The sequence below is a fragment of the Homo sapiens genome, chromosome 4, assembly GCF_000001405.40.
Source record: "Homo sapiens chromosome 4, GRCh38.p14 Primary Assembly".
NCBI classification, from domain to species: Eukaryota; Metazoa; Chordata; class Mammalia; order Primates; family Hominidae; genus Homo; species Homo sapiens.
In genome coordinates, this window is record NC_000004.12 from 29,208,967 (window position 1) to 29,221,869 (window position 12,903).

The following is a 12,903-nucleotide window of genomic DNA, read 5'->3' on the forward strand; positions in this document are numbered from 1 at the left end:
ATGGCTCTTTGCCAAACATATTGCTAGAAGCAGATATAAAGATTAGTGTGGAAGCCGACCTTCAAAATGGCCCTAGATGACCTCCACTTCCTGGTACCCATTCCCTTGTGTGTGGAGTTGAATGTGGGCAGTGTTTGCTGAGTCACTACCAATAAACAGAGTATGAAAGAAGTGATGGGGGTGTTAGTTCTAAGATTAGTTTATAAAACAGTGCAATTCATCTTGGAATCTCTCTCTGTCTCTTTCTCCTTCTCCTTTTTTCCTCCTCTTCTCCTTCTGCCCTCCTCCTCCTTCTCCTCTTCCTCCTCCTGGCTGGTTGAATTTTCCTCCTGGAAAATTCAGATGTCATGTGATACAGCCATGTGGAGAGATTCAGGTGATGAAAATGTGAGGTCTGAAACAGTAATTTTTGTTCAGTAAGCTTTTATCTATTGTGTCTATCCTATCTAATGATATAATTAGTGCAAAAACTAATAAACTATTATACAGAAGGAAACTGTTTTCAAATGCATTTTTTAGGGATTGTGACATGTCTCCTAATTATGATGTCTATTAGAATAGAGTAAGGCTCTGGTTATTTTCATGATCTTCATAGTTTCATTCTACATAGCAGATTCACTCTCATTTTTAAACATTTTCTTGGCATTTCAAAGATTTTTTTGGGAGTTCCTCCAGTCATCCTAAAATAGGAAATCTCATGTTACTTGTTTATTCATTTCTGCTTGTTTCAACCTTATACCAATTTCATCCTTTCCTTTCTTGCCACCCATAAATGTTTCTTAACACAATATTTAGAGGCAAAATTTGGCTAAATAGAATATCTTCTAATGTAATACTTTCCCAAAAATCATGTGCATCTATACAATTACACTTATCAGTATATTTTTTCTTTAGAATCATTATATTGATATAGAATATAGTATCATTAATATTAAAAATATATAAGAATGTTTTAATTTTATGATGGTGGAATATCAATGTGGCTTATAATATTTTATTAGCTTGAAATAAACACATTTAATTCTTGCAAAATTCGTGTTCTTTATAGTTTCAGAAACAGTTAATGTTTTTAATAGGTCAAGTATGAAAAGCTAACTTTTGCTACTTTTTTCACTTCAAATATTGAGGTTGATAATTTGAGACATTAATCTTAAACTTTCAAGAAAATTGCTAGTTGGACTAATATAAACTATCATATCATTTTTGGAATTAGCTATTTAATTAAAATTTTCATTCATCTTCTTGAAAGTAGAATCAACTAACAGGAAAAATTTAACCTTCAAGAACCTATTTCTAAGAAACTTACTAAACTTAAATTTAAAGAAATAGTTTTTCGTTTGTGCGTTTTGCAGATATTTTATCTTCACAGTTGAGATTTAATTATATGAGAAAAACTTATGGAAATATGCATATAAGACAATGCTGCCTCAAAGTTTGTTTTATTTTGTTTTTAACTAGTAAACAGGACTGATAACTGAATTTAATAAATATATAGCTTCATTTAAAAATCCCCTTTACACACACGTGAGAATCATAAAATATAGTTTTTACTTGTGCCTTCAGTGATTATTATTTTAATAGTATTCACTTTTAGTTAATTAAGTATATGATAAACATGTTATCTGTTCTTTAAAAAAATCTGCAAACTTCTCTTTAATAAATTAACTTATAGATCCAAAACCAAGCTTCATATTTAATGAGCTCTTATGAACATCACCACCACCAATACTTTAAATAACTTTGAAAGCCCAAAGGCTTATGAGGTATCGGCAACTTTGCTCTTTTAATCATATTATATGGTGGATTGAGTTACCTGCTAAGAGTTGAAATAAAGAATCTCACCAGCAAACTCAAAATCCACTTAAGAATATGAACTAAGATCTGCATTTTATTCAAATATATGAAATGCTTTTTAATTGGAAGAAAAAATAACTTGGGAAGTGAGCATATAGCTGTAACTGCTAATTCTGCCTCTTCCTGCTGTTACAATGATTCTAACAGGGGAGATTATTAAATGAAATCCTGAAGTAATGGAAAGAACGATTGTGTTAAAAATGCTGAGACACAGGTCAACTGAGACTTGTGATGTTATTACCTTTCTGCTTGGCAGTACCTCCGCAATACAATATCGGACTGCAGAGTTCAGCAGGAAGGAAGACAATGTAATGATGATTCTATTTTTCATGTAGCTTTTCTTTGTACTTGTAGAATATCCTACATCACATTGCTTCAAAAACCAGGAACTGCCACACTGTGTTCTGCCGCTTGTAAGTAATTAAGAAACATTTAAAAGGCTTTATATTCAAGACTGAGTTAGACTGTCTGCAAAATGAAAGAATGGAAATAAAGATTAAGAATATGTTAGTCCTGGCAAAAGAAGAGAATTAACGGATTAGCCAAGGAATCTAAAGTGTTTCCATTATTGCTCTGCCACTTACTGGATGTAATCTTAGGCAAGTTATTTAGTATCTCTGTGTCTTAGTTTGTCAGCTGTAAAATGGTGTTAATAATAAAAATAATAGTATCTACTTCAAGTTGTTGTCAGGCAAAGGAGTGTTAATATAGAACAAGACATCTATTTTTATGCCTAGAAAGATTCCTATGTCTGGTTTTTTTTGAAGTAATAAATAAAATTATTTTCTTATTTAGAAAAAAACACATCAGCTGTAAAAAATATGGAAGATAAAGAAAATAACAAATAATAAAATTTAATCATGCTGAATACCAAAACTCAGAAGTAACTATTATTTCATCTAATTATTTTATTTATATAATAGGAATATCTTCCTTGTAGTAAACATACTTTTACAATACCATTTTTAATGATTGCATAGTGTATATTTCACTAGGTTACATCATAATTTATCTACTATGTAATATCTAAGGAGTCCTCAACTTCTCATCCGCTAAGTACACAGTAGTAAGCACATACCTCTTAGTGTAATTGGGAAAATTAAGTTAGGTAATACATATAGACAATAAAACTTTTGAGTCCTGAACAAATGTTAGCTATCATTATTATTTAGTAATTATAATTGAAAGTATTTTAATTTTGTTATAACTCTTTTACATATTTCATTATATATTGGGGAAATTCAGACATGCTGAATTATTAACACTCATATTATACACATTATTAAGATTTTAAACCTAAAAAGCACTTTTAAATTGAAGTTAAGCATATCTGTTTTAACTACATTTTTCTTTTTTTCCCTCCAAGGAAATTAAATTCTCAGAATCCCTTCTCATTTTTCTTTCCTATTTCAAAAGACTCACTTCAACAGTCCTCCAAGCAAAAACTTAGTACACCCTTTAAATTACATGATTATAGTATGCACAGACTCATTTATTACCTGCTATGCAGTTAATAGGATTATTTTGCCCTGAACCATCTTTTAATATATTTAGAGGTGATTTTCTAATGCAAATAATTTAATTTTATATCTATACTATAGGGAAATTATTTTAGTTTGCAACGATGTGAAATGCAAACTGTGGAAAATACTAGTGAGAAACTGAATAATTGTTTTGTTTTAGATTTTAAAAACAAATATTTGCTCTATATTATTTATTAAAAAATACATAGCATGCAAATACCTGCAATTTGAAATTATTAATATGGTCTCTAAATATGAGCTTACATGTTGAACCAATATGCAGCATTTTCATGTAAAGGCTAAATTAAAAAATTCTGAGATTTTTGTCATGTGCTGCCAGTCCAAGATCCCAAAAGACTTTGGGTATATTTCTTAGATTAAGGCCCTTTGACACTTGTAAAACAAAGAACATATTGTCTTTAATGATGAAACCATTATTAGGATGTAAACTTGTGAACTTTATTGACTGTGTAGTTTATAGCATATACATTGTTTCTGTCTTGACATTGTTTCACTTAGTAATTATTATTTAATATTATACACCAATATGCACATCCATTGTCATAGAACTATAAGAAATTATTTTAATAAGTGATAAAGTAGTACAGATTACTATGACACATTTAGTAACCAATATAACTTTTAATATTACTCTGAGATCCATCTCTATTTATAATCCAACTGCCCTGTGTTAATTTGTATAAACAAAATAGTACTTACAAAATAGAGAGTATGCAAACAATGGAAACCAGTCTTTTTTCCTGAGTATTATCATTATTTATTGTCAGGAATGCAATAGATTTCAAAATTTTATGATCAATCTGGAGAATCGTAGTAAGGATCTGAAGGTGTGTCTGAGCATCAAAGTAAAGGGGTAAATTGGTAATGTTTGTTTAAAAAGTAATAAATGTAAAGGAGATTACTAATATCTATGCTATGTATTAATCATGCCCAATAAAGTCACTTTCTCACATCAAATTTTTTTCATTTTCAGTTCCTCTTTGGCTTAGTATTTCTTTATTAGACAATTTTCTTGCAGCTGTAAGAAATAGAATCAAATAATGGTGTAGGGTAAAATATAGCAACACAAATAATTTGATTGGATTATATAACTGGCATTCTCAGTATTACATGTATGTTCATGTTCAGAAATAGGTAGACATGGGGCTCTCTCAAATTTATCTAAGAGTAATCTCTTTTTTTGACTCTGTGTTGCTTCATTCTTTTTTTTTTTTTTTGAGATGGAGTCTTGCTCTGCCATCCAGGCTGGAGTGCAGTGGTGCAATCTTGCCTCACTGCAACTTCCGCCTCCCTGGCTCAAGCAATTCTCTGCCTCAGCCTCCTGAGTAGCTGGGATTACAGGCATGCACCACCACACCCAGCTACTTTTTGTATTTTTGGTAGAGACGGGGTTTCACCATCGTGGCCAGGCTAGTCTTGAACTCCTGACCTCGTGATCCACCCGCCTCGGCCTCCCAAAGTGCTGGGATTACAGGCACGAGCCACCGCGTCTGGCTGTGCTGCCTTCATTTCAGTGCATTATCTGTCTTGGTATTGGCAAATGTGACTACCAAAATTTCCAAGTTTTTTATCAGTTTATAAAAGCTAGCAGAAAGGAGTGTCTTTACTTAAAGTTGTGGAAGAAATTATATTGTACTCTCATCCGTGTAGTGAAAAAGAGTAATTAGATTCAAAAGAATAGCATGGACTAATGATAAGAAGGAAATGGACCATCAAAGGAAATGTAGCCTGTGTAACGGAATGAATGTATAAGGTCCTCCCCAAATTCATATGTTGAAATCCTAACACCAATGTGATGGTATTAGGAGGTGGGACCTTTGGAAGTTGATTAGGTCATGAAGGCAGAACCCTCATGATTGTGATGCGTGCCCTTATTTAAAAAAAAAAAAAAAAAGAAAAGAAAAAACCTAGAGATGGACATCTGTGAACCAGAAAGTTGGATCTGCATAAATAGAGAAAAATTCATGTTTATGGAGAAGACAATTGAATATTGTGAAGATGTCTTTCACTAAAATGATCTACAAATTCAAAGCCATATCTGTCAAAATCCCAGCTGTCATTTTTATAGCTGTACACACTGATACTTAAAGGTAAATGAAGACTGAAGGATGCAGTATAGCAAAAATAATTTTGAAAAAGAAGTAGAAAATTGAAGAACTGAAACTATCTAATTTCAAACCTATTAAAGTCATATAGTTATATGTCAAAAGTTAATAGTTATATGGCAATAGTTATAAAGTCAAAAGTTATAAAGTCATAGCAAGTAAGAGTATGCTGGTAGAAGGATAGACATATAGATCAATGGAAATAAACTGAGAGTTTACAGATAAATTTTTACATCATGGTAAATAGATTTTATACAAAGATATCAAGAAAATTTAATGGGATTAGAAAAATCTTTAGCAAACGATAGTCAGTCTGTCAGACAGCCATAGGCAAAACAACTTTGACCCTTACTTTGTATCATACACATATATGTAAGGGCTAAAACTATACACAAGAATAATGATTCATACAAAATTAAAATATAAATTGAATTCCACCAAAATTAAATATATTTATAATTGAAATGACACCATTAAAAAATGAAATGACAGGCCATAGACTGAAGGGAAATAATTACCGATTCTATATCTGAGAAAAGGCTTAATGTCAGAATATGCAAAATATTTTAAAATTCCTAAAATATTTTTAAAACTCCCATTTTTTAAAATGTGCAAAAAGTTTCAATAGACATCTTAATAAAGATTATGTAAAAATAACAAGTACATGAAAACTGGCTCAGTAACATTAGGAAAATAAACATTGAAATCACCATCAGATACTACTAGACACCTACTAGATTGATTATAATATAAAGACAGACAATGCAAAATATTTTTGAGTATACAGATCAATTAAAACCACCACAAATTTCTTGTAGGAATGTGAAATAACAGTGACACTTTGGGAAGTATTTTGGCAGTTTTTTTAAAAATAAAATGTAAGAAACAGAAAACCAAATACTGCACGTTCTCACTTATAAGTGGGAACTAAATGATGAGAACTCACGAATACAAAGATGGGAACAACGCATATGGGGCCTATCAGAGGCTGGAACGTGGGAGAAGGGAGAGAATCAGGTAAAATAACTTATTGGTACTTGGCTTACTACCTGGGTGATAAAATCATCTCACAACAAACCCCATGATACAAGTTTACCTATATGACAAACCTGCATAGGTACCCTTGAACTTAAATGTAAAATTAAAACAACAACAATAATGACAAAAACCTAACTCCAAGTAAAAATCAAAGTCCAATAACATCATGCAACTACAATTACTGATAAAATGCAAAAGGAGAAAATACTGAGTACTGAAGGGGCCAAGGAGCAAATGAAACTCCTTCTGGTGAGGATGTAAGTTGTTGCAATCATTTAGAAAACTGTTTCCACTTTTAGGTGTGTGCCAAATAGCAAAGAGTACATCTATACACACGAAAAAGACATGCAACAGAAAGTTTATGACAGCACAGCTCATTTCACTCAAACATCAGAAAATACCAGAATGTTTATCAATCATGCAATAAATTAATTTTTATGTTCATTGAATAGACTACTGTACAACAACTAGAATGGAAAATCTACAAATAAGCTTGAGAATATGGATAAATCTTATGAACATAATGTTGAGCAAAACACTGAATGATATATAAAGAAAGAATATACAACAGAGGACAAATATATATATTTGTGTATATATATATACCTTGTTTGTATATTTCATGCAATTAATGTCAAATTCCATTAATCTCATGTAACATAAAAATTTTGCTTGATTTGATTTGTTCTTGTTTCTATCTTTTCTCTTTCATTTCTTTCTCACTTTTTAGTCTTTCTTTTTCTTTTTAATAAGTCCATCTATCCATTTCTTTAATTTCTAGAAATATTAAATGAAAATCTCCCTATCTATTATACATATCCAATTTATTGTGCACAACAAACTTAGTTTCTTCAAACAGGCCATTTTAAAAAGTAATAGACTATTTTAAAAGAAGTTCGAGGTTTGCAGAAAACATAAGCAGGGTAGGCAGAGTTCCACATACTACCAAGCTAACCCCTCACAACATAGTTCCCACTAATAATAGCATCTTGCATTTGGTGGGCTATGTAGTTTGGAAATTTGTCCCCATTCAAATCTCATGTTAAAATGTAATCCTCAGTGTTGGAGGGAGGACCTGGTGGGAGGTGTTTTTGTCATGGGGAAAGATCCCTCATGAATGGCTTGGGCCAACTTCTTGGTGATAAGTGGGCTCTTGCTCTGAGTTCCCTAAAAATCTGGTTGTTTGAAAATGTGTGAGAAATCTCCCCTTTAGTCTCTTTCACTTGCTCCTGCTTTCTGCTTTCTACATGTGACATATCTGTTCCTGCTTCACCTTCCACCATGATTGAAAGCTCCTTGGCTGGGCATGGTGGCTCACACCTGTAACCCCAGCACTTCAGGAGGTTGAAGCTGGCAGATGGCTTGAGTCCAGGAGTGCAAGACCAGCCTGTGCAACATGATGAGACCCCCGTCTCAGCTATCTGGGAGGCTGAGTCAGGAGGATCACCTTAGCCCAGGAGGTTGTGGCTGCATTAAGCCATGATTGTGCCACTCCACTCTAGAAAATACAAATTATTTTGGTAAAGAAAAACACAGACTTTGATTTTAATTTTGAAAGCCACACTGTGGCTTTGCTTTAGTGTACTAACTTTTGGTCTCCAAGGTTAATTCTTATTCCTATTAAATTATTTATCTCAATAGGAACGCTTTTACACTGTTGGTGGGACTGTAAACTAGTTCAACCATTGTGGAAGACAGTGTGGCGATTCCTCAAGGATCTAGAACTAGAAATACCTTTTGACCCAGCCATCCCATTACTGGGCATATACCCAAAGGATTATAAATCATGCTGCTATAAAGACACGTGCACATGTATGTTTATTGCGGCACTATTCACAATAGCAAAGACTTGGAACCAACCCAAATGTCCATCAATGACAGACTGGATTAAGAAAATGTGGCACATATACACCATGGAATACTATGCAGCCATAAAAAAGGATGAGTTCATGTCCTTTGGAGGGACATGGATGAAGCTAGAAACCATCATTCTGAGCAAACTATCGCAAGGACAGAAAACCAAACGCAGCATGTTCTCACTCGTAGGTGGGAATTGAACAATGAGAACACTTGGACACAGGGTGGGGAACATCACACACCAGGGCCTGTTGTGGGGTGGGGGGAGTGGGGAGGGATAGCATTAGGGATATACCGAATGTAAATGATGAGTTAATGGGGCAACACACCAACATGGAACATGTATACATATGTAACAAACCCGCACATTGTGCACATGTACCCTAGGACTTAAAGTATAATTTAAAAAAAAGTTATTTCTCTCTTATCTCCCTAACCTCTATATCTTTGGCCCTATGAGCGTCCATAACTCCTGCCTATTTGTCAAATTAATTGGATGATTACTCCCTTTTCCAAGTTATTAATAAACTCTAATATTGACTGCATCCAGAAAAGATTAGCAGTGCCCTTGCTGGGTGCTACCTCTGTGAAATGAAAGAGGCTGTAACTCCTGATCTCTAACCTCCCCTCCTTTCTGATCTTCCTTTTCCTCATTACATGAGGTTTCTCCCTCTCAGCTATTTTTTTTTTCACTTTCAAAAAGAATTTCATGCCCTGAGAGGTTTGTGTGTCTATAGAAGTTTTCTTTAGAAATCAGTTCAAACCACTTACCTGTCATCGTTTTTGTTAATTCTTGTGGTTCACTGTAATGTCTCCAAGTAGCAAGTTCTATATTGATAGTCCCATTTTGCATTGAATCTGAAGAATAAGGAGACCAAGTACACTTCTAAGGACACATCACAAGAGAAAAATAGAATTAGGAATAAACTTAGATTTTTGAATTGATTCTTCAACAGTTATTTATTGTGTCTCTTTTATAAGGGCTCAAGTATAACAGAAAGCATCCCTTTTACCTTTTCCCAAATAAAATGTGTGATGTTTTGGTAAGCATAGAAAGAGACATACGATATTACTAGCACTGCTGTATTATTAAAATAATAGGAAAATTTATTTTGTATGCTTCTGCTTTTATTTCCATGTCTAATCAGTAATTAAATACTGTATGTTTAGAACTCACTAGTTCCACATTTCCCCTTATTTTGCCAAAACTTTGTTGGGAAACTCTGACTAGGTTGAAATAAAAAATAAATCAAAATGTTACTTGTTAGCTGTTGAATAACTACCAATACTTGGTAAATTTAAAAGTAGTTTTTCCCCAAAAGTTTCATACTTGAAGCAAAAATTATGTTTTACTTGCATAATTTAGAGTAAATAAAATATTTTCATAGGCATTCTCTTAATCTAAGCACCTTTTTGAAATTCATATAATCATTCACATTTTGTAAATGAGGAAATTGGGGTCAGATGGTTTAAATAATTTTTAAGGTTAAGGATGTCTTAATCCTTCAACAAAAGAACTAAAATAAAATCCAGTTGTTCTTGCTCCATGTCAGTAACACTGGCATGTTCATAGGAATAATACTTACTAAGGGTTTACTATATGACAGGAACTATTTTAACTGTTTTATGTGTATTGTCTCATTTAATAGTTAAAAGCACTAAATAAAATAACTATTAGTAATATTCTAGGCTTACAAGTGAAAAATTATAGGTACTAATTCCATAGCTAGTTGAGAGTTAAGATGGGTATACAATTCACATGTCTGCACCCCATACAATTCCATATTAATTCCATAGCTAGTTAATTCCATATTAACTTCATAGTTAGTTGAGAGTTAAGATGGGTATACAATTGACACATCTGCTGCATAGCTAGTTAATTCCATAGCTAGTTGAGGGTTAGGATGGGTATACAAGTCACATGTCACCCCATAGCATGATATTCACTTTCTGTCACTTCCTGACACTAATTAAACCAAAAAGGATCAAGAATTTAATGTATTATTTTATTTAATTAAGGCCAACACAGAGCAGCTGCTTTTCACTTTTCATAAACCCTCCTGTATATTCTATACATTGTAAGTCAGAGGAGTGACCTTATTGCCTGATTTACCAAGGTGCGGTCTGCAGAGCAGTAGCAGTAAGTTCACGTAAGAGATTATGGGAAAGGTAGCACCTCAGGCCTCGCCTGCCAGGCCTATTGCATCACAGTTATCAGTTGAATAATACTCCTGGGTGGATTCTATGTGGATGTTAAAATTTAGAAAGTATTGCCTTAGTGTACCAACAATGACCAAAAACAATTTTGAAAATTATAGATATAGTTAACAATTTTTTTAATTTACTTTTTTAAAATTAGGTTTGTGGCTATTTATAAATATAAAATATCTTTGCTCATCGCATATTTGAACTTTGTAGTGTTCCATGGTTTTATATATTTAAAAGAAATTTGAGAAAACTAATTTTACATTAAGATGTGTTGATCCTACTTTTTCTTTTGTCTTTTAGATTTCACTTATAAAGTCCCATTCAGATTTAATATATTGTTGACAAAAATACTTTGTATATATCAGCAAATTGTGCTACCTTTTTGAGAAATATTAAGGGAGATATTAGCTTAGTAAACTTGAAGCGCAAATTGGAAACTTGTTTCCTAGGGAACATCTAAAATCACATGCAAGAAAATCATGAGAGATAATACGTATAAGCCAAATTCTTTTTTTTTCTTTTTTTTTTTTTTTGAGACGGAGTCTTGCTGTGTCGCCCAGGCTGGAGTGCAGTGGTGGGATCTCCGCTCACTGCAAGCTCCGCCTCTCGGGTTCACGCTGTTCTCCTCCCTCAGCTTCCAGAGTAGCTGGGATTACAGGCGCCCGCCACCACGCCTGGCTAATTTTTTTTTGTATTTTTAATAGAGACGGGGTTTCACCGTGTTAGCCAGGATGGTCTCGATCTCCTGACCTCGTGATCCACCCGCCTCGGCCTCCCAAAGTGCTGGGATTACCGGCGTGAACCACCGCCCCCCGCCGAGCCAAACTCTTTATTTGAATATTACTGTACAGTCATACAGTATCTGTATAGTCATAATTTTTTACTCACCTTAACTTTGTGTTCTAAGTTAACATGGTCAGAAGAAATGTTGTCTAAAAATATGTGATTTGCATCTGTTTAGAAAAAATAAAGAAGTCCCACATATACATTTATATCCTTGTAAAGCTTGGACATCTAAAGAAAAAAATGTTATCTAAAATGAGAGAAAAAAGTTGAAAATTTGAGTCCAGTTGAATACAAAATATTTCTCCAATCCACTCTACTACTGAGGCTATGAATGTACGTTACATCTCTAAATATAAGGAGATTTACTTTTATACATTGCATCTTTAATTTTTTTGTTTTGTGTCATTTTTAAGGGTTACAGAATTTAAGAGAGTATATCACCTGTTAAAATAAGACTAGTGTTCTGTCTACATTTTCACCCTCAGGCAACAAGTTGACAAATGGACATGAATTTCACCTCTGAGAGTTTCATAAGCTGGTATTGTCCTGACATTGCAAAGTGTTTACCACAAAGATCCTGTACATCCATCATCCAGGGCCAGCGTTTGCCTGATTCTAATTCCACTGACATTGAAATCTACAGCTCTCTGTGAGTCATTTATCACACTTATTAAAATGTTCCATTGTGAATTGGAATAGCAATTCACTATTATTTCAGAGTGCTGCCCAAGGGGCATTCTATGCAGCAAATCTTAATGCTTTATTGAAATAGTAGTTTGGTTTTAATAAATGATTCTTTGCAAAGGTATCTTGCTTTCATTATGAAAGGTGATGTTCGCTTTCTAAATCTGGCATCCTTGCCTAAGATTATGTAGATATCTCGGTTTAATATTGCATTTTCCTGCCCTAAATAGTCCATCCCTAATATTTGAACAATGATATGTCAATTAGATTAATTAGACTATTGTGTAAGAAGTATCTTTTAAAATTCTCTTTGAACTGGAGTCAAATTACCAACATATACTGAAGAACTTTGAAATAACAGATACATTTCATATGAATAAAAATAAATTTTTTTCATCAGAAAGGAGGCATTTTCACAATAGAGCAGAACATTTTTGAATAGAACTTACTATTTTGTACAGCAGACTTTCTCCCACATCAAGATTTGTTACTTTTTTTTTTTTTTTAGAAACCTTTGACTACATCAGTGCCCACTGCAAAGTTCTCTCTCTCTCTCATATTCACTCTTGCTGTCTATTATTTGCTCATGGTGACATTGTGAATAGCACTATCTATTTGACATCTGACTAGAAAATGAAAAATAAGTAATTTTGTAAAAGTTCTAATTCCCTTTTTCCCACTTGAAGTTTCAGTCACTGTAAATCCAGAACAATAGATACTCCTTTACTTTGGAAAGAAGGAAGATTGACGTAACTTAAAATAACATATAACAGTATAGTTGGTATAAATTCATGGTGTTTCCTTTGATAGTTGAAACAGGACTTACG

At 33.2% G+C, this 12,903-nt stretch overlaps 1 long non-coding RNA gene across 1 annotated transcript; it reads left to right on the forward strand.

The window, feature by feature from the left end:
* The first annotated feature begins 5,325 nt into the window (after positions 1 to 5,325).
* LINC02472 (long intergenic non-protein coding RNA 2472) lies at positions 5,326 to 12,196 on the forward strand. Its single transcript, NR_146996.1, has 3 exons — positions 5,326 to 5,488; positions 6,322 to 6,520; positions 11,878 to 12,196. It is a non-coding gene; the product is annotated as a long intergenic non-protein coding RNA 2472 (long non-coding RNA).
* Positions 12,197 to 12,903: the final 707 nt, after the last annotated feature.